At 58.0% G+C, this 18,887-nt stretch overlaps 9 annotated features.

The window, feature by feature from the left end:
* Positions 1,454–2,193: an enhancer, noted in NCBI's record as "H3K4me1 hESC enhancer chr22:20269715-20270454 (GRCh37/hg19 assembly coordinates)". NCBI's record gives its function as "activates a minimal SCP1, AML or CMV promoter by ChIP-STARR-seq in primed H9 embryonic stem cells {active_cell/tissue: H9 hESC(primed)}" and the evidence as "EXISTENCE:reporter gene assay evidence [ECO:0000049][PMID:30033119]".
* Positions 2,194–2,934: an enhancer, noted in NCBI's record as "H3K4me1 hESC enhancer chr22:20270455-20271195 (GRCh37/hg19 assembly coordinates)". NCBI's record gives its function as "activates a minimal SCP1, AML or CMV promoter by ChIP-STARR-seq in primed H9 embryonic stem cells {active_cell/tissue: H9 hESC(primed)}" and the evidence as "EXISTENCE:reporter gene assay evidence [ECO:0000049][PMID:30033119]".
* Positions 2,935–3,674: an enhancer, noted in NCBI's record as "H3K4me1 hESC enhancer chr22:20271196-20271935 (GRCh37/hg19 assembly coordinates)". NCBI's record gives its function as "activates a minimal SCP1, AML or CMV promoter by ChIP-STARR-seq in naive H9 embryonic stem cells {active_cell/tissue: H9 hESC(naive)}" and the evidence as "EXISTENCE:reporter gene assay evidence [ECO:0000049][PMID:30033119]".
* Positions 5,083–5,152: a silencer, noted in NCBI's record as "silent region_13488". NCBI's record gives its function as "represses an Ori minimal core promoter by ATAC-STARR-seq in GM12878 lymphoblastoid cells {active_cell/tissue: GM12878}" and the evidence as "EXISTENCE:reporter gene assay evidence [ECO:0000049][PMID:35858748]".
* Positions 11,786–12,287: an enhancer, noted in NCBI's record as "H3K4me1 hESC enhancer chr22:20280047-20280548 (GRCh37/hg19 assembly coordinates)". NCBI's record gives its function as "activates a minimal SCP1, AML or CMV promoter by ChIP-STARR-seq in naive H9 embryonic stem cells {active_cell/tissue: H9 hESC(naive)}" and the evidence as "EXISTENCE:reporter gene assay evidence [ECO:0000049][PMID:30033119]".
* Positions 17,269–17,770: an enhancer, noted in NCBI's record as "H3K27ac-H3K4me1 hESC enhancer chr22:20285530-20286031 (GRCh37/hg19 assembly coordinates)". NCBI's record gives its function as "activates a minimal SCP1, AML or CMV promoter by ChIP-STARR-seq in naive H9 embryonic stem cells {active_cell/tissue: H9 hESC(naive)}" and the evidence as "EXISTENCE:reporter gene assay evidence [ECO:0000049][PMID:30033119]".
* Positions 18,224–18,493: a silencer, noted in NCBI's record as "silent region_13489". NCBI's record gives its function as "represses an Ori minimal core promoter by ATAC-STARR-seq in GM12878 lymphoblastoid cells {active_cell/tissue: GM12878}" and the evidence as "EXISTENCE:reporter gene assay evidence [ECO:0000049][PMID:35858748]".
* Positions 18,534–18,713: a silencer, noted in NCBI's record as "silent region_13490". NCBI's record gives its function as "represses an Ori minimal core promoter by ATAC-STARR-seq in GM12878 lymphoblastoid cells {active_cell/tissue: GM12878}" and the evidence as "EXISTENCE:reporter gene assay evidence [ECO:0000049][PMID:35858748]".
* Positions 18,734–18,873: a silencer, noted in NCBI's record as "silent region_13491". NCBI's record gives its function as "represses an Ori minimal core promoter by ATAC-STARR-seq in GM12878 lymphoblastoid cells {active_cell/tissue: GM12878}" and the evidence as "EXISTENCE:reporter gene assay evidence [ECO:0000049][PMID:35858748]".

Raw genomic sequence — 18,887 nt, forward strand, 5'->3', positions numbered from 1 at the left:
TGATGCGGGCACCCGGGCAGATACCATGCTGAGAGCCAGCTGGGCCTGCAGTGAGGAAACGTAGCCCAAAGCAGACTGCAGAGCTGGAACTCAGGTGGGGCTGCTGCCATAGGCTCTGAAGACAGCGCAGGAGACCGGGAGGGGTCACCAGTGCCAAGGCCCTGAGGCAAGCCAGAGCTGGGAGCATCTGAGGATGGGCATTAGCGTGGGGCTCCAGGGTACAGCCGGTCCACTGCAGGCAGCCTGGCCTCCCCAGAGACCCAGCCACGGCTCCTCACCTTGGACAGGGGGCCCTGGGCCTTGGGCATCAAATGACCTGCTTGCCGCGGTGGAGGCTGCCATACCAGGACGCCGGCCCACGGCCTCCAGCGGCCCGTCCCCACCTTCCCAAGCCCCTCCCCTCATGGCTCACACCCTGTTCCCTGAGCCCCCAAACATGGGAAATGGCACCTGTTGTGCCCCAGCGGGGGAATTCTGACCCCAGACCCTGGGGCCAGTGCAGAAACCACCACTGTATCAGATTTTATTTCATCTAAAAAATATCTGAGCCAGATTGAAAGCAGCGGGGAAAGGGTCCCATGGCTGCTTCCCCCAGCCCCACCCTCCACAGGCCCTGGGCCCTCCCAGCCCCCATTTCCTTTCCTTGAGAAAGTCTAAAGTGGGGCAATATTTTGTGAAATTGGAGGCACCACGTTGGAAATTCCAAACCCGTGTGTACGATGAGCTGCACGCGCGTTTTGAACCTGCCCTGGTTTTGAGCTGAGGGAAGCGGAGGGTGCAGGAGTTGCCCACTCCAGAGGCCCTGGGTGTGCATGAGGAGCCCTGAGGCTGGGCCGAGAGCCGCTTGTGGGAGGCACTGTGCCCCCTGCCCCCGAGATCAGGGCCTGGGTGCCCAGGACACTACAGACCTTTTGGGGATCCTGGGGGTTGGGAAGCCTAGAGCTGGAACCCACAGGCCAGAGTCTGAGCTTTCATCCCCCACCCCCGAAGACGCTCCCCCAGCCACTGCCTGCGCATCGGGGGAGACAAGCTCCCCCCACGCCCACCTTGCCTCCAGCAGGGCTGTTCCTCCCCTCATCTGCTGGCATCAGTTTTTTCTTTAACTGAGCCCCATGCTGGGGAAGGGAGAGCTCCAGGGGACCAGGCAGCAGAGAGGGGAGGAGAGAAGCCATCAAACAGGCCGGGGGCTGGGAGGCCATGCACTCAGCATAGAGCCCCACATGGCAGCAGGGGGCTGGATGGCCGGCTTAGAGCCCATTCTCTCCTGGACACTGTTCTGGAATGGCCCCTGGCCCCTCCGTTCCAAAGATGGGACCCTCCGGTCCCCGGGGACCCGGGATGATGTCCCCCAAACCACCTCTCTTCCCAGACTTCATCAATGGCAATGAATGGTGCATCCTGGCTGGGGCCGCCGCCCCTCACTGTGAGACTTCAGCCCAGACGAGCGCCCAGCCCCTCCTGGGGTCTCAGATAGTCAGAAAGAAAGGCTCACGGCTGCCATGCACTTCCACAGGACTTTGTGGTTCCTCCTGCACCCCCGGTGATGCTTTCATCCCTCTCCAGCACCATTCCAGAGGCCAGAAAACCATGATGTTTGGGGTCAAACAGCTGGGAGAGGCAGTTGGAACTCAGGCCAGGCCTGTCTGACTGGACAGTGCAGAGACTGGGACCATGCTCCCCTACAAGTGCTGTCAGTGCACCCTCGATGCCCCCCAGAGCTTGCCATGCCCCGACAGTCCCTTCATGGCCAAAGTGTTCCCTGGCACAGGATACCCTGGGGTGCCATGTCTGCAAGAGCTCACACCCTTCTCTCCCCAGCTGCTGCTAACTGCTGCCAGAGGTGGGAGTGTGGAGGGCTCGGGGCCTCTTCACCCTCCCTGCACCAACTCAGCTCCAGAACATTCCCAGCAGTGAGAAGAGGGTGGCCACTGTGCTGCAGCCCCAAGGGATGGGCAAGGCCATGCCAGCTGGAGTCATCCATGTCCCCTTGGACATGGTGGCCTCATTCAGAGGGCAGCATGGAGGAAGGTGCAATGAGGGTGGCTACCAGAGACAGTGGAGATGAGGCAGTCAGGAAGCCCAGGGACAGGACTGGAGGGGACACACGGCCAGCCTGGGACAGGGCATGAGGCCTTTGTTCTGCGTGCTGTGGCATACGGTGTTGGCTCTGGCCCTGGCCCATCTTTTGTTAGTGGTAGGAGGGTGCTCCTTTAATCAGCCAACTCTTTGTTTCAAATTGCCCCTGTCCTTGAAAACACTGCTTCAGGGAAGCGTGAGACAAAGCCAGTTCAGTGGGGTGCCTACCTGGCCAGCAGCCCTCATCCGCAGGGGCTGCTCCTGGGGCACGTGCCAGAATCAGACAGTCCCACCGTCATGCAGGTGCTGGGGCCTTCAGTCAGCAGGACCAGGCAGCCCATGTCCTGGGGACCCTTGGGGAGGTGTGGGCATTTGCTGAGTTGGGCTGTCATTTGCTAGACAGGCGCTTGGCGAAGGGGCCCTTTTGTGCATGGATGCCCTGGGCAGGTGTCAGTCCTGAGTCCTGGAGAGGAAGGCAAGCTTTGGAGTTGATGCTGGGTCCTAGGAGGGAGCGTGTGGTTTCGCCAGCTTCTCAAAAGTCACCTGAGACCCTGCCAAGGGACCTCCAGACATTCGGTGCAGGCTCCTGGAGGCTGGACAGAGGGCACCAAAGGGCGACGGGCCCCGAGGACAGAGGTGTGCAGCCAGGTGGGGCCATGGCCAGGCTGGGACCTGCTGGAGCTCTTGTGTGTGAGCCTGGAGGAGCTGCCAGGCTGGGGGAGATCGGGGCTGGGGCTGGGGGCGGGGCTGGGCGTCAGCAGGGTCTGCAGCTCCCATCTTCCCAGCTTATAGACCTGAATATCCAGGTTGAGAATAAACCATTCTCCCAGGGCACCATAGCCTCCAGGAAGCACCTCCTCCTTCCACCATCCGCCTTTCAGGAGGGGCCTCCCTGGGGGGCTGTCTCTGGGACTGCAGAGGCTGCTTGGTGTATCTGGGGCTCTGACATGAGTGAGATTGTTCCGGGGCCTGTGCTGCCCAGCCTCTTCCCCAACAGCTTCCTCTGGAGGCAAGGGGCTTGGCAGGAGCTGCAGGGAGCCAATTATCCCTGAGGCAAGCTGGCTGCAGATAATTGGGAAGACAGGCTTTTCACCAGCAGCCAAGCTCTGGGGCGCACTCGCCACACCAGGACTTGGGACTTGAGGATCCAGAGGTCTGCCAAACCCCACGCCTGATTGGGAGCCCCATGTGCTGCCATCTACCAGGGGAGGTGGCATTTTCTTGGCAACTGAGGGGGGAAGCCAGGTGCTGAGGTGTGGCCCACGGGACGCCTCGCCTGGGGACCTCCCAGCCCTTCTCCTCTGCCTCCTAGGGGCCTCCTCTCCTTACACATGAAAACCTCCAATGTCTAGCCCAGGGCTCCAGATTAGGGGTCAGTGCCGCCCCCAGCCCAACTTCCTCTGGGAAGTGTGGGGTTCTCCCCGGGGCACTCAGGCCTCTTTCTTACAGGGCTTCCCAAGGGGAGGCATCCAGAGGAAGGCAAAGGCTGTGATCAGGTAGAACCCGCTGGACGCCCCCACCATCTCCCTCCATCAACATCAAAAGACAAGCTGACCACCCCCAATGCAAGGTGGACATTAGGGTTAAACCCTGAGTGACCAGCACTCAGCTCCCAGCCTGGCCGGGATGCAGTGGGGTGGGGTGTGGTGGGCTCATGGGGCTGGTGAGAGCCCGGTGGGGTGGGTTTCAGGTGCTGCTTGTCCAGGGCTCAGCTCTGTTCCTTGGGGCTCCCTCAGCCCAAGGGCCCACCTCCCCTCTGGGCAGCCCCGATCGGCGTGTTCTGCCTCGGCCAGCTGTCAGCCACCTGCAGCTCCTCCCTCATTGCACCACCCTGGAGCATCACGGTGCCCAGGGCAGGCCGTGGAGACCTGGCTAGCCCATGGTCTGCTCAGTCCTCACCAGCTGTTGTGACAGAAACAAGTCTGTGCTGATGAGCTGAGCCGACCAGGCTGCAGCCCTCACTTCAGGAGAGGGTCAGGCCCAGCCAGGCCTGGTGAGCAGGTGTGGGGAAGGATGGGTGCTCATGTGCGGGAAGTTTCTCAAGAGTGGTGGAAGGAGGATAGACAACGAGGGCCCAGTGGATAGGGCGGGGAGGCAGGAAGAGGGGACAGAGAGGGGACCAGTGAAGGAGAGTGGAGGGTACTGCCCCCCTGGGGGAAGGATGGGGTGGGGCTGGTGTTAGCTGGGTTGGGTGTGTGGGTCTGGCAGGGAGCCGGGCATGGGAGTGGGTCCCGAGGAATGCTAGGTTGGAGCCAGGACCATGGGCCTCACCAGTCATAGAAGCCTCACCTCAGGGCAGAGGGGGCTGACAGACTGGGCTGACGGGAAGGGGGGCTTCCTGTCACCAGAGAACATAAAGGGACCACTAGTGGCCTGGGCCATGAGGCTCTGTGGCCCTCAAGGTGCTGAGCTCAAGGTGGGCCCAGCCCATGGCTGCCTTTGTGGGGACCCCACAAGGAGATGCTGGCCTCTGAGGATGCTCAGACCTGGTTCAGCATGGCCAGGCCCTGGCCTAGCCCAAGGTCAGCACTGGCCACTACCCTGGGGGCTGAGTCTCCGTCTCGCCCTGTGACATGGTGCCCACACTATGAGCCAGTGTCAACCCTTTGCCCATACACCGGGAGCCTTGTGTGTCCATACTCATGGCTGAGGGCCTGTTTGGGGGTCTCTGTGTTGGGGGAGGTGGGTCCAGGGTGCGTGGCCCCTGGGATTGTTCATCATGAGTGCCACCTGGAAGGTGCTGGAGCCTCACCCGTCCTCCAGAGTGTTTTGGGGAGATCCTGTGCTGGCATCTTGGCTGGGCCAGGATGGTGTCTAGGAGGGACCCTTGGGAGGGAAGCAGGGGCATCAGGGGGCCTGGTGCTGGGGTGGGTGGCAGGAGAGGCCTGGAGGGCGGCGGCCCAAGCCAGTGGCTGGGCAGGTGTCAGGAGGGAGAGGGGTGAGGCCTGGCCTCCCTGCCACAGCTTAGCCAGGGCCTGGGGTGTCTTGGGGTGGGACAAGGCCCAGGGCAGAGGCAGGGCTGCTTGCATGCAGGGTGGCCACATCCCGGCCTGGTGAGTGCCGGCCACTCAGTTCTGTGGCCCTCTGCTGCCCTCTGCCGGCCGCCTCTGTCCCTGCAGGCCCAGCCATCTACCTGCAGGTCTGGACAGACCCTCAGAGCCTAGGCTGGGAGGTCTCAGGAGTCAAGACAGGGTTGAATCCCATTTGAGGGCATCTGAAGGAGTGAGAGCCTATGTCAATCCCCTGCCCAGCCTTGCCTCGGCCAGTGGCTCCCAGGGGACTCTGGTGGGCAGTGGCTAAAGATGACAGAGGGGCTCAGAGAGGCTGAGCTGCTCTGTAAGGTTGCACAGTGAGCAGGGGCCGAGTGGCCTTGGGAGAGGCAACAGCAGGAGGGTCCTCGTCATGGCCACAGCCCAGGGACAGGAAACCCCTGCTGGGTTCCCCCACCAAGTAGCTCCCATTCCCAGCCCTTAGGGTGTCTCAGGAGAGGTTCCGGGGGAGGTCCCACCTGCCTCCTGCCTTCTCCCCCAACCACACCCTAAATGGGTCCCAGCTCCCCAGCCCCTCCCACAAGGGCTCACCCGCCAGAGCTCGGGGAGAGGCCCTGCAGGGCGGCTGTTCCTCCGTGTGCTGCAGTCCTCTGGACACTGAAAGCCAATCCCATCCATCTTAATGGCATTTAATATGCACAGTGAAAGTCAGCAGCCACAGCCACGGGCGTGTGCTCAGGGCAAGGTTTACACGCGGATGCCACCAGGCTTAGCCCATGAGTGGCCTCCTGGGTCCCAGGAGACCTGTGGGGTGGGGGTGCAGCTGGGTGGGCCATGGTAGCAGAGACCTGGGGAGGGGATGTGGGAGGTAGGAACTGGGCTAGGCAGGGACTCAGGGGAGGCTGAGGCCTGGAACAGGGAGACTGAGACCTCAAGGAGGCTGGGACATTGGGAGTCAAGACTTGGGGAAGCTGGAACATGGGCAGGCCGAGACGCAGGGGTTTAAGAATGAGGGTCTGGTGCAGACCTGAGTTGGAGCCCAGCCGCTGCTGGCCCCACGTAGCTGGAGAGTGTGCTGACCCCATGGTGGCTAGAGAATGTGCTGTTGGTAGGGAAGGCAAGTGCTGGGAAGGGAAAAGTGTGGTCCATTTAAATGATACGGAAGCAGGGGAGGGAAGTGCTGGGTAGAGGAGGGCATGGTCCCAGACTAGGGCTCCAACCCCACGGACCTAGGTGAGAACAGGCACTTCCTACCCAAATGTTGCATTTCTCACGACCACCCTAGCCTGCCACGCCCCCATCCTGTGCTTATAAAATCCCCCGAGACCTTAGCAGGCAGACACAGGCAGCTGGACGTGGAGAGGAACACATCAGCGGAGACACACACGGGCGGCTGGATGTCGAGATGAACGCACTGATAGGCACCGGCATGCTGGCAGGCCACTGACTGGCAGAACCACACGGAGTTTGGCTGGGGCAGTTGGAGGACAGCCCGGGTGCACAGCGGCCCCACTCCAGGGGAAAACCTTCCCACTCCACCCCCTTCTAGCTTCCCCTATCTGCTGGGAGCCACCTCCCCTCAATAAAACCTTGCACTCATTCTCCAAGTCCACGTGTGATCTGACTCTTCTGGTACACAAAGGCAAGAACCCCAGGATCCAGAAAGCCCTCTGACTAACACAAGCCACCCTACAGACGACAAACTAAAAAAGCCCCCGTGACACACGCCCACTGGGGCTTCAGCTGTAAACCTTCACCCCTAGACACTGCTGTGGGGTCGGAGCTCCACAGCCTGCCCGTCTGTAAGCTCCCCTAGAGGTTTGGGCAGCAGAGCACTGAAGAAGCGAGCCACTCCCCTTCTCACACACCCTGCTAGGGCAACAAGGGAACTTTTTCCGTTTCACTGGCCCAAGGTGGCTGGACAGTGTGCTGGCCCCACGGTAGCTGGAGAGTGTGTCGCGCTCCCTGGCTTTCCTCCTGATGTATAAAATGAGTTAGCGGGTCCTGGGGGCTGTTCCCACAGTGACGTGGTGGAGGCTGACCCTGACACCCACCCCTGCTGAATGCTCAGTGAATGGTGGTTGCTGTCAGGAAGCATCATTGCTGTCCTCCATCAGTGTCTGTGGGGCTAGGTGACTCTTGGAGGATGCTTCCAGCAACGTTGCACTGCCAAGACAGAGGCCGTCCACCTGCCTCTGGGCTTCCTGGTGTGAACAGATGGATGGATGCGTGGGCCTGCTGCGTGCAGGGAGCTGAGGCTGGGTCTTCACCTATGGGCAGGAGGCTACACAGGGCTCTGGGAGAGACAGCACTGTGGCTGGGACAGAGCCCATGTGATGAGATGCCCTCGGTGCCCCTGGCCTCCCTCCTCGCTCCTGCCCCTCTGGAACATCACCCAGAGCCCCCCTTGCTCTTTTGGGGGATGTCTGGGTGTCTGCGGTTGCTGTCACTCTTGATCCCACCCACCCACCCCTGCAGGTTGCTGGCAGGACAAGTGCAGGAGTCATCTCATGGCTTTCCCTGGGATCTCTGTACCCGCTGAGAGCCGGGAGCTGCACACAGCCTGTCCACCATCCTGGGAACTCACCCTGTTGCTGCCGCTTGTCCTGGGTCATCCTGGGGCTCACTCCTTGCCATTCAGACCCCTGTGAGGAGAGCACTGGCTGTGAGTTGCTCTGTGGCTAGTGATGGCAAGGCAGGGCCTGGAGTAGATCCATCACGAATAGTTCTTTTTTTTTTTTTTTTTTTTGAGATGGAGTCTCGCTCTGTCACCAGGCTGGAGTGTGCGATCTCGGCTCACTGCAACCTCCGACTCCCTGGTTCAAGCAATTCTCCTGCCTCAGCCTCCTGAGTAGCTGGGATTAAAGGCACATGTCCCTATGCCCAGCTAATTTTTGTATTTTTAGTAGAGATGGGGTTTCACCATGTTGGCCAGGACGGTTTCGATCTCCTGACCTCGTGATCCACCTGCCTCAGCCTCCCAAAGTGCTGGGATTACAGGTGTGAGCCACGGTGCCCAGCTGAGAATTCTTAATGAAATGGGAACATGCCTCCCACGAAATGCACAGGGGCCTGCAGTGATAGAGTGGCCTCAGGTATGTGCACAGGTGTGAACACGCCTTCCACAGAGGGCAGTGGACGTGCACATGCCTCACACACACTGTGGCGCAGGGCAAGTGTCCCACATGTGTTCATGCTTGCGCACATGTCAGTGGGCTGGATGTGTGTGTGCACACCTGTGTCATGCCTGCAGAGAAGACAGTGGAGAGAAATATGCCCAAATCTCCCCTCTGGGTCCCTGCCCTGGGTGCTGGGATGTCAGAACAGGTCGATGTCCTTTTATCCTTCCCCATATCCACCACGCTGTCTACCAAAGCACGCTTTAGTTTTATAATCAGAAATGAAATGCACCGTTTCAAGAAAGCCATGGGCCAGCCCCTCTGTGCCCTGGTGTTGGCGGGGGCAGAGGGGTGGGGTGTGTAGGGGGAGATTAGCCTCATGCAGCCGTGGGGCCAGGGAGGCCAAGGTCAGCTTGCTCAGCACCTGGAGGTACAGCGAGTACCAACAACACAGCCTAGCTTGACCGCGGAAGGAAAATCAATGCTGGGCGCAAGGACTGACGGCAGACTCACTGGGAACACTGTCCACCGACGTCAGAGCTGCTCACAGGGCACCGGGAGCTTGCCAGCGAGCTTGGCTGCCTGTGTTTGGAACAACCCTGGTGGGCGAGCACGGGCCCCTCACCTGACTCCACTCAGTGCCCTTCCCAGAGGGGAGACAAAGGCTGTGAACAGCTCTGGAGGCCCTCCCTGCCAGTGCCCCCCAGGCCTGGCTAAAGAAATCTCAAATACCCCGAAGGGCCTGGCTCCAGCGGCCCCTGCTATGGGTCAGCCTCAGGGGGATGCTCATCTTCAATTGACCCTGACTGTTCCACATTACAAGATAAACTGTGGGGTTAACTCAAGGCGGTATTACTTTGTAAAGACTGCTCTTTATACAAGAGCGGTGGATGCAAAAACAAAAACATTGCCATGTAAGACGGGAGTCCTCCGAGTCCTGTCTTCCTCCATTCCGTGTCCTTGCACCCCATCCATGTGTGGCCTGCATGGACAGACAGCTTCACACACTCAGACTCTTCCCTCCCCACGCATCAGAGATGTGTGTCCCTGTTACTGACATGCAGGGAGGGGCTCATCATCTTGGGCACACCCCATGGTGCTCTGAGCCCATCATCACCTATGGTGGACGTTGAAGGAGTTCCCAGGTTTTCCTTTTCAGGAGCCATGGCTCGGGCCAGTGCCTAGGAGGTCAGAGGTTGGGGGCCCAGGGAGAGGTCACTGCCCAACCGTGCCACCTTGGACTCAGAGTGCCGGCCCAGGGAACCAGGCAGGCCCGGCTCTGACCGTGCCGCTGGGCGACCGCTGGCTGAGACCTGGGGCTGAAACACATCCCACATCAGCCAAGGAAACAGGCTCTGCATGAGGCCTGAAGCCCCTGAAGGGCTCTGGGACAGGAGGAGAGCCCAAGCCTTCAGCTGTGATGTGCACAGCACCGTCTGTCCTCCACCCAAGGGAACTCACCTTGGTGACCCTGCTGGAAGGCACAGGTTGCTGACATTCTGACCCCTGACATTCGGACCTCCAGCAGAGCCTGCAGTTTGAGACCTCTGGTTCAGGAGCTGGGACTGATGGGGCCCTTGGGGATTCCCGTGCTGCTGGAGGAAGATGGGGGCATGGGGGTGTCCACAGCAAAGAAGTGAGAAGTAGAGGCCGCCAGCCCCCCGCCCCGACCCTTCCCTGGCTAGAGTGGGGCAGGCTTGGGGGTGAGTCTGGGGTGCTGATTTCACCCTCCTGGGCCAAAGTCTCCCCGTGACTTTATGGACTGTCTCCCTGTGCTCCCTGAGACCCTGGTTCTCCCTCACCAGCCTGGGTCCTTCTTGTCTCAGCTCAGCTGTCACCTCCTCCGGGAAGCCCCCAAGCCCTTGAGTGGGTGCCCAGCAGGCATGGTCAGTGCTGAGGCTACAAGCCCTGCCGGCACCCGGCAGGGAACACAAGGCCAGGTCAGGCTCTGGGGACAGTAGACAAGCTTATCCCTGCACACTGGGGACTGCCCACCTGGGGGAGAGAGCTAGGTCAGGCTGGGGAGACGTCAGGGGATGGCCGGGCACCCCTCCCTGAGGAGAGCTCCACCTGAGCAAGAGTGTCACCAGGCCCACTCCAGACACATGCACTGCCTCAGACGGGCTGGAGAGAGGGTGTGGCCGGGCCATGGGATGAACCATTCTGGGCGGTTGTCCTGGCATCACCAGACATGTGGCTCTATTAAGCATCTCGACTCCACAGGAGCCCATGTGGCATGTCCTCTGACCTCCTGTTCACTTCTGAAAGGGGCGGCCCTCTGAGATTCTGCCTGGAACCTGTCAGCCCTCCTGACAAGGTCTCTGGTTCCCGGCCATCACAGGCACCCAGCCACCCTACAGAGAGGCTCTGGGAGGCTCAGCCTTGCCTGGGGCCCCAAGACTGATGCCAGCTGGGGCATCTCACAGGGAGCACCCCTACCTGTAAACCGCCCAGCTCAAGCCCTGCCTCGACCTCTCCAAGTCAGCAGCCGACCTTCCCCAGGGCCCCTCCCAGCCTGCAGGGGGTCTGAGGCTCTGAGGCTTTTCTGCAGCCTCTCAGTCCCCCACCCTGCTACCTGCTCAGGCAGAGAGATCATGGCTCTGGGTTATTGTGTGCTTAGTGGGTGCTGGAGCTCGTGCTAAACAACTTGGGTGCCCCCTGAATCTTGACAATAATCTGAGGGGGCATTATTATTACTATTCTCACTTCCCCGAGGAAGAAGTCCCAAACCCCGTCTGGCACAAAGCCAGCGCCCCGAGTCTCCCTCTGCAGTCCATGTGCTCCCACGTGGGGCATGCCTGGGACATCACAACATCTGGGGTCAATGCGGCTGCTGTTGTCACTGTGGCATTCAGCTTTCCCAAGGCTCACATCTGCTCCATCCAGCAAAGGGGTCTTGCACCCCAAGCCTGCCTCCCTCTTCACACACACAATCCCACTTCGTCAACCACAAAGATGCATGGGTTTACCCAGCCTCAACCCCATCGGCCCCTCCCCTTCCAGTTGCCGGAGGGCTCGGGCCCCTTCAGCTGGGCTCCCACATTCCTGACCCCTGGCCTGCAGGCCCTCAAGACTATGCCAGCCCGGGCTCACCTGGTGCCAGACACCTGCATCTCCCTGGGGTGGGGGTTGGGGGCAGTAGGCTCCGTGGACCTAGCACACGTATGATTCTTGGAAAATGTAAATGTCTCTGAGGACAGCGATCCCAGCTTCAAATATTGCTGTGGGCTCTCGGGCAAGTCCCTCCTCCTCTCTGAGCTTCAGTTTCCCCCGCATAAAATGGAGCAGTGATCGTAGCTCCTGCATGGGAAGGTTGTGAACACCATGCTTGTCAGCAGAATATACCCTAATTTTGCAAGGAAACAATATGGCAGGGGTGGGGGGGATCTAAATACCTTTCCTTATACACGCATTGAAAATGATTATATAAAGTGGTGAAGTGTGATTGCATTCACATAAACAGTGGCATGTTCTGGGATCTAGCAGACAATCTTAACTTCAGGAAATGCAATCATATTTTACTAGCTTTGAGAAAAGTGAATAAAATGTCATAGCTAAATAGAACTCAAGTAGGATCTGTGAACGGCAGCATGGAGTGGATAAGGGGATAACGTACCGATGAGGGAATTTATATACCCAGCAGCCCAGGTTTGGTGCAGGCTGATAACGGAAAGACAAACTCCAAATTAAATGAATGTGAATGAATTCCTTTGCCTGCGGACAGACCAAAAATATCGGTAAAAGTGGCTACAGGGCAAGCAGAAAAATGCAACAAATTAGAATGAACGCAGGGAACCATGTTTCTGGCAGAGAAACAAATATTTCAGAGTACAGGTAAGAGGCACATGGCAAAAAAAACAACAACCTGACTTTGCCAGAGCTCCAATGTCATGCTCACGGCTGAGGAGAAACAATTATCTCGCTGGGAATGAGTGCAAGTGAGAGAACGGAAGGAGTCCTGAGCACGGTTGACTGCATGTGCCCAGGGGCCCGGACAGGCAGCACAGCGGCCTCTCTACCCTCGAAGGTCTGTTTCTTGTCTGCTTCCTCCTTGAGAGTGGCAGGCCCTGGTAACTGGCCCAACCTCGGGGGCGCCCAGCAGCTGGGTCCCCACCACATGCCCAAGTCTGGCCCTCTCAGATCTGCCTGTCTCCTGAGCTGGAGAACGGAGCCCACCCCTCCATCCCCGACACTCATCTCCCATCCAGTTGATCTCCCTGAGGACCCCCCCACCGACAACTCCCACCTGGATCCCCTGGCCCTGGTGGGGCATCATTCTTTCAAAATAATCCATGACTGTGTTCAGTGGCTCACGCCTGAATCCCAGCACTTTGAAAGGCCAAGGTGGGAGGATTGCTTGAGCCCAGGAGTTTCAGATCAGCCTGGGGTAACACAGCCAGACCCTGTCTCCACAAAAAACTATTTTTTAAAAATTAGCTGGGTGCAGTCCAGCCTATAGTCCCAGCTACTTGGGAGGCTGAGGCAGGGGGATCACAAGCCCAGGAGTTCAAGGCTACAGTGAGCTGTGATCACATCACTGCACTCCAGCCTGGGCAACAGAGACCTTGTCTCTTAAAAAAAAAAAAAAAAAAAAAGCCATCAGCTGGCTCAGGGTAGCCACCTGCCAAGGGTCCCCAGCTGAGCGTAAGACCTGCTTCCTAGGATTTACAGAGCTCCTGTGAAACTCGGTTGTTTCATTGATTGTCACATGGAGCCAGTGACTTTCAGGCCAGCCTTGTTCCCACAGGTGGGCTCTCCCGTGGGCCTGGGCACCCAGCGCTAGGCCTGCCCTGCTATGGTCTGGATGTGAGCAGAGATCTCTGTGATCCCTGTACCCCTCGCTTCTCCCCCTGCCCTCTCTGCAGCCCTGCCCCTGGCAGCCCCTGCCCACCTTCGCCTCTGTGCAGGGCCACAGGCTTCCTTGAAGCAAATGCTAGAACTTTGAGCTCTTTGCTTTTTAAAAAAAGATAACAGCTTTATTGAGATATAATTCATTATACTATTCATTTATTACCTTTTGCATTATACCATGCAATTTTTTCCATTTCAATGGCACAATCGAATGGTTTTTTAGTCTATACACAAGGTTGAGCAGACATCAACACTCTGTAGCCCCAGAGTATTTCCAGACCCCAAAGAAACTCCGTGGGCCTTGGCAGCCCCTCCCACTCCCCCTGTCCTCCACCTCCAGGCCCTTACCAGTGCCACAGTCACCAGGCTACATTATGGGCTTGTCTTCGTGTGACTTCTGTCTCTATGGGTTTGCCTATTCTGAACTCTTCATATAAACTGAACCATAAAACTTGTGGCCGTCTGTGTCTGGCATCTTTCTTTCTTTTCTTAAAAAAATTTCACTTTTATTTTAGAGACAGGGTCTCCTTCCATTGCCCAGGCTGGAGTGCAGTGGCACGATCATAGCTCACTGCAGCCTCAACCTCCTGGGCTCAAGCAATCCCCTCACCTCAGCCTCCTGAGTAGCTGGGATAACAGACATAGACCACCATGCCTGGTTAATTTTGTATTTTTTTATAGAGATGAGGTCTTATTATGTTGCCCAGACTGGTCTAGAACTCTTGGGCTCAAGTGATCCTCCTGCCTTGGCCTCCCAAATTGCTGGGATTACAGGTGTGAGCCACCACACCTGGCTATTTTTATTTTTTAATTGACACATAATAATTGTACATATTCGTGGGGTACGTAGTGATGTTTCTATACATGCAATGTATGGTGATCAGATGAGGGTAATTAGCACACCTATCATCTCAAACATTTATCATTTCTTTGCATTACGAACACTCAATATTCTCTTTCTAGCTAGCTGAAAATACATAATTTTTGTTTTGGTTTGGATTTTGGTTTTTGTTTTTTGTTTTTGAGACAGGGCCTCACTCTGTTGCCCAGGCTGGAGTGCAGTAGCACCATCACGACTCACTGTAGCCTCTACCTCCCAAGGCTCAGGTGATCCTCCTGCCTCAGCAACCCGAGTAGCTGGGACTACAGGCATGTACCACCACACCTGGCTAACTTTTGTATGTTCTGTAGTGATGGGATTTGACCATGTTGCCTAGGCTGGTTGTGAACTGCTGGGCTCAAGCAATTCTACCCCTCTAGGCCTCCCAAAGTGCTGGGATTACAGGCGTGAGCCGTGACACCTGACCCATAATATGTTGTTGTTAACTAGAGTCATCCTACATTGGTGTAGAACACTAGAACTTATTCCTGCCATGTAGCTATAATTTTGTATCCTTCAACACATCTCTCCCTCCCTCTCCCTCCCTTCTTTCCACCCTTCCCAGCCTCTACTATCCTCTGTTCTACTTTTGACTTCTATGAGGCCAGCTTTTTTTAGCTTCCGCATATGAGCAAGAACATGCGGTGTTTAACTTTCTGTTCTGTCTCATTTCACTTAACATAAGTTTCTCCAGTTCCATGCATGTGACTGGCTTCTTCGATTTTGCATACTTTCAAAGTTCATCCATGTCATGGCATGCATTAGTACTTCATTCCTTTTTATAGCTTAATAGTATTCCACTGTATGGATGGATCACGTTTTGTTTGCACCGTTTTGCTGTTGTGAATAGTGCTACTGTGCACCAGGGTTGTATTCCTCTGTGTGCCACTGGGTTGAGGGTTGGGGGATGGTAGGTGCTCCCATAAAGGGGGAAATTGACTGATACTGGCTGAAATGGACCAGGCTCTTCATTAAGCTGGCCTCTGAATGTTGCAAAAGCATTCTGTTGGTTTCCAGGATCACTGCTTAAGACGGTTCCTTTCAGTACCACTGTTGTCCAGGGGAGGGATGGGTTCCCGGAGCTTCCTGATCTGCCACCTTCTCTGATGTCACCCTCAGACCCTCTGCTTTTGAGCCCCAGGCTACAGAGTAAAAGTCTGATGGTAGGATGTGAGGTGAGGGACCTTCCTTGACCCGGCACCCACATGAGGCAGGACTGAGAACACCCTGAGGACTGCCCGGGTGGCTGGGGTGCTGAAGCCAGGCTTGGCCCCTCCACAGGCCATGCATGACAAGGACCACCCTGTCTCTGAGCTTTGCCTTGGCCTTGCCGTGACATTTTCAGGTGTGTTTCAGCTTAGATTCTGCTCTGGGGTTTCCCGTGTAAGAACAGGGATGACGTCTAAGCCCTTGTCTGGCATTTGTCAGGAATATTGGGAGAGGCAATGTGGCAGTGTGAGAAACAAGCTCACCCATCCAAACCTGAAGAATGGACTCAGAGGCACGAGCAGTGAAAGTGAGACTTTTTTTTTTTTTTTTTTGAGACGGAGTCTCGCTCTGTCGCCCAGGCTGGAGTGCAGAGGCGCCATCTCGGCTCACTGCAAGCTCCGCCTCCCGGGTTCACGCCATTCTCCTGCCTCAGCCTCCCGAGTAGCTGGGACTACAGGTGCCCACCACCACACCTGGCTAATTTTTTGTATTTTTAGTAGAGACGGGGTTTCACCGTGTTAGCCAGGATGGTCTGGATCTCCTGACCTGGTGATCCGCCCGCCTCCGCCTCCCAAAGTGCTGGGATTACAGGCGTGAGCCACCATGCCCGGGAAAGTGAGACTTTTAATAGTGGTCTTGCGAGATTGGTGTCTGGTGGATAGGCGCACTCAGGGCAGTCACAGCAAGTAACTTATGCCCTAGCACACAAGTCCCTCCTCCTCATTGGTCGAGTACTATGGGGTTACAATCTTCCAGGACATTGCCTAAGTTTCATTATCCACCTTATAAGGTTATACCCCGTCGCCTTCCCCGCTTAAGTTTCAATTTTCCAATAACGAAACTTTCTTCCCTTTTATGGGCTGACCCTTTTTCTACATTCTGTCTGCTTATTGTGATCTTCTACGTGCATGAGCCGTGCGGTTTGTTACATTCTCAGGCTGGCTGCCAGTACTTAGATTTATCATGCCTTGAAAATGGGCCATTTAAAATGTTTTCTCATGGCGGTAAATCGGTGAGCTGACTGTCATACACTCAGTCATTTTGCCCAAAGTGTGTGTGATGTGGAGGGCTGACAGCCTTCTCCATTACCAGTGCAGTGAGAGGTGGCACAGCTGGTGGGACCCCCTCTCTCTCATGGATATGAGTGCGTTAGAGGGGAGGTCTTGGGCCAGGAGCAGATCAGATCAACAGGATTATCCAGAAAATGGCAGTCATGGCGAGTATTGGCTCCAGATGGGGAGGGTTAGGGTCAGGGTCGGCTCTTCTCACCTTCCTGAGCGAGTCACCAGCGTCGACAAGTTACTCCCAACATACAGGGCCTGGGTGGAGGCTGAGTGCTAGGAACCCAGGCTCCAATTCTGGTAACCAGGTGCAGATGCTCAGGAGAAGAATGCAGCCCAGACAAGCGTGGTGTGCCCTCCAGAGGAGAGGACGTGGCATCAAAGGGCTGTCTTCATGGAGAGCAGGAACAGAGACTTTGGGAAGCCAGGGGGCCTTGGCCTCAGCCCTGCTGGCAGAGGGTCCCCACCATGTAGCTGAAGTGCCAGGGTGCTTGTGAGGACTGGGTGTGGTCCAGGGTGACTCAGGGCAAGGCCTGGGGGATGCATCTCAAATCCACAGTCACCAGCCTAGAAACTGGGGTCACACTTCCCACATGGGTTCCCACATGTGGAAATTTCATTCACTAAATAACGACACATCAAGGCAGCAGTATGGATGGGGCACAGCTGTCAAAGTCACCAGCAACAAGTGCAAGAAGAGAAGAGGGAGTTGCAGCCACATAGGTGCCCAGGTGGGCCCTGGGGGTCAGAGAGGGCCTGCCAGGGGTAGCACCCACCATGCTGACCCTGATGAGGAGAGGAAGGAGGGTGTGGGATGCAGGGGAGGGAAAGGTGCCTGAGAGCAGCATGCAAACAGCCTGGGCTCAGGAAGAGCCGATGGCATGACAGGTGCTGGGGAGAAAGGCGTGATAGGTGTGGACAGGGGCCACAGGAGGAGGGATGGTCCTCAGGAAGGGGAGACTGGTGGCTATGGCCGGCTGCCGAGGCTAGCCTCTCTCCAGCAAAATGAGCCTGGATTCATCCACTCCTTTTGTCTCTCCCCTTTGCTCTGTGGTGCCGGCAGGAGGAAGAGGAGCAGAAAAACTGTTGCTCCATTCATCAGGAAGCCTCTCTCTCTCTCGAGTGGTGGTGATGGTGTCCCCCAGGGGCACCTGGCAATGTCTGGAGACATTTACGGCTGTCCCGACTGTGTATGTCTGTGTGTGTGTGTACTACAGGCCTCTGGTTCCTGGAGGCCAGGGATGCTGATACACAACCTGCAATGCACAGGGCAGCTCCCACAAGGAAATTATTCAGCCTCAAATTTCAACATTGCAGAACAGGTCAGGGAGTGCAAGGTACCTCCTGCTCTTTCCAGCAGGTGCAAGGTGCACAGGGAGAAGCAGGTGGGTGAGGTGGGAGGAGGCTGGAGCCAGACCCAGCGTCTGTGGGGTGCAGGAATATCGTGAGGTGACGAGGGGCCCAGCGGTGAGTGATGGGGAGGGGTGCACTACGGCAGGCCGCCAGGGGCGGTTCCACCAAGAAAGTGACATCTGGGAGGGGCATTGAGGCAAAGGGGCCGCGAGAGGGTAGGTGCTCTAGAGGTGGCCCACGGGCGGGCGGCACTGAGGCCGGGCCTGCAGGGGAGGCGGTGTGGCCAGCGGACTCTTGTTGGGTGGCAAGGGAAGGGAAGAACCACAGGGCTGCACAGGTTCCGAGGGGGCCTAGTGGTCCGCATTTGCCCTTGGGTGGGCGGTGGGACTGGGAGGACAGGAGAGGAGCGCGGGGCAAGCCCCTAAGAGGCCTGAGGGGTGGGAGGGAGAGGACGGCTTCCCATACGCCCATTTAGACCAGAGGAGAAGCGGACCCACTTTGAGGGCTGGATTCTCAGCCGATCCGGCCTCAGCTGTGGGTCCACGCGGCTCAAGGACCAGGGAGGAACCCAGGTGTGCGGCTGCGCTGATCGGCGGGCTCCGGACCCACCTGGCTGGCCTGGGGACCTGGGAAACCCGGTGTGGTGGGGAGACCGCAAGCCTGGTCAGGGGTCCCGCTCCCAATGGGGCGGGTCTCCTGTGAGGAAGGCGGAGCTCAGGGCGGGTAGCCCCGGGGACCGGGTCTCTCGCGGGGGTGTGGCCACGGCCCGGTGGGCGGGGCCTGCTGTGGACGCACAGAGGTCTGCAGCGCGCGGGGCGGAACCTCCCGAGGAGAGGGCGCGGCTGGGAGCGCGGGGCGGGGCCTTCCGAGGAGAGGGCGAGACTGGGAGTGTGAGGCAGGGCTTCCCACGGAATGGGGGCGCGGAGCCGGTCCTCCCGAGGAGCGGGCGCGGCTGGGAAGGCGGGTCGGGTCCTCTCGAGGAGCGGGCGCGGCTGGGAGCGCGGGGCGCGGCCTCAAGAGGAGAAGGGGCGGTGGGTCCTGGGGCGTGCCAGAACCCTTGAGGAAGAAGCGCTGGTGTTCTGGAGTATGACCACCGGAGCCGGCCGGGCCTCGGGTTGGGGCGGGGCCTCAGGGGTGGGGTTGGGACTTCGGGATGGGTTCTCCAGAGGTGAGAGCTGGGGTCGTAGGGTGGACCGGCGTCTGCTGAGGAAAGGGAGCTGCTTGGAGCGCGGGGCGAGGGACTCACGTGGAGAAGGCGTGGGCCCTACGGCGGGCGGGGCGGGGCCTCAAGAGGAGCGGGTGCAGATGCTAGGGAGGGGCGGGGCCCCTGGGATGGGGCGGTGTCTCC

Source organism: Homo sapiens, chromosome 22, assembly GCF_000001405.40.
Source record: "Homo sapiens chromosome 22, GRCh38.p14 Primary Assembly".
NCBI lineage: Eukaryota > Metazoa > Chordata > Mammalia > Primates > Hominidae > Homo > Homo sapiens.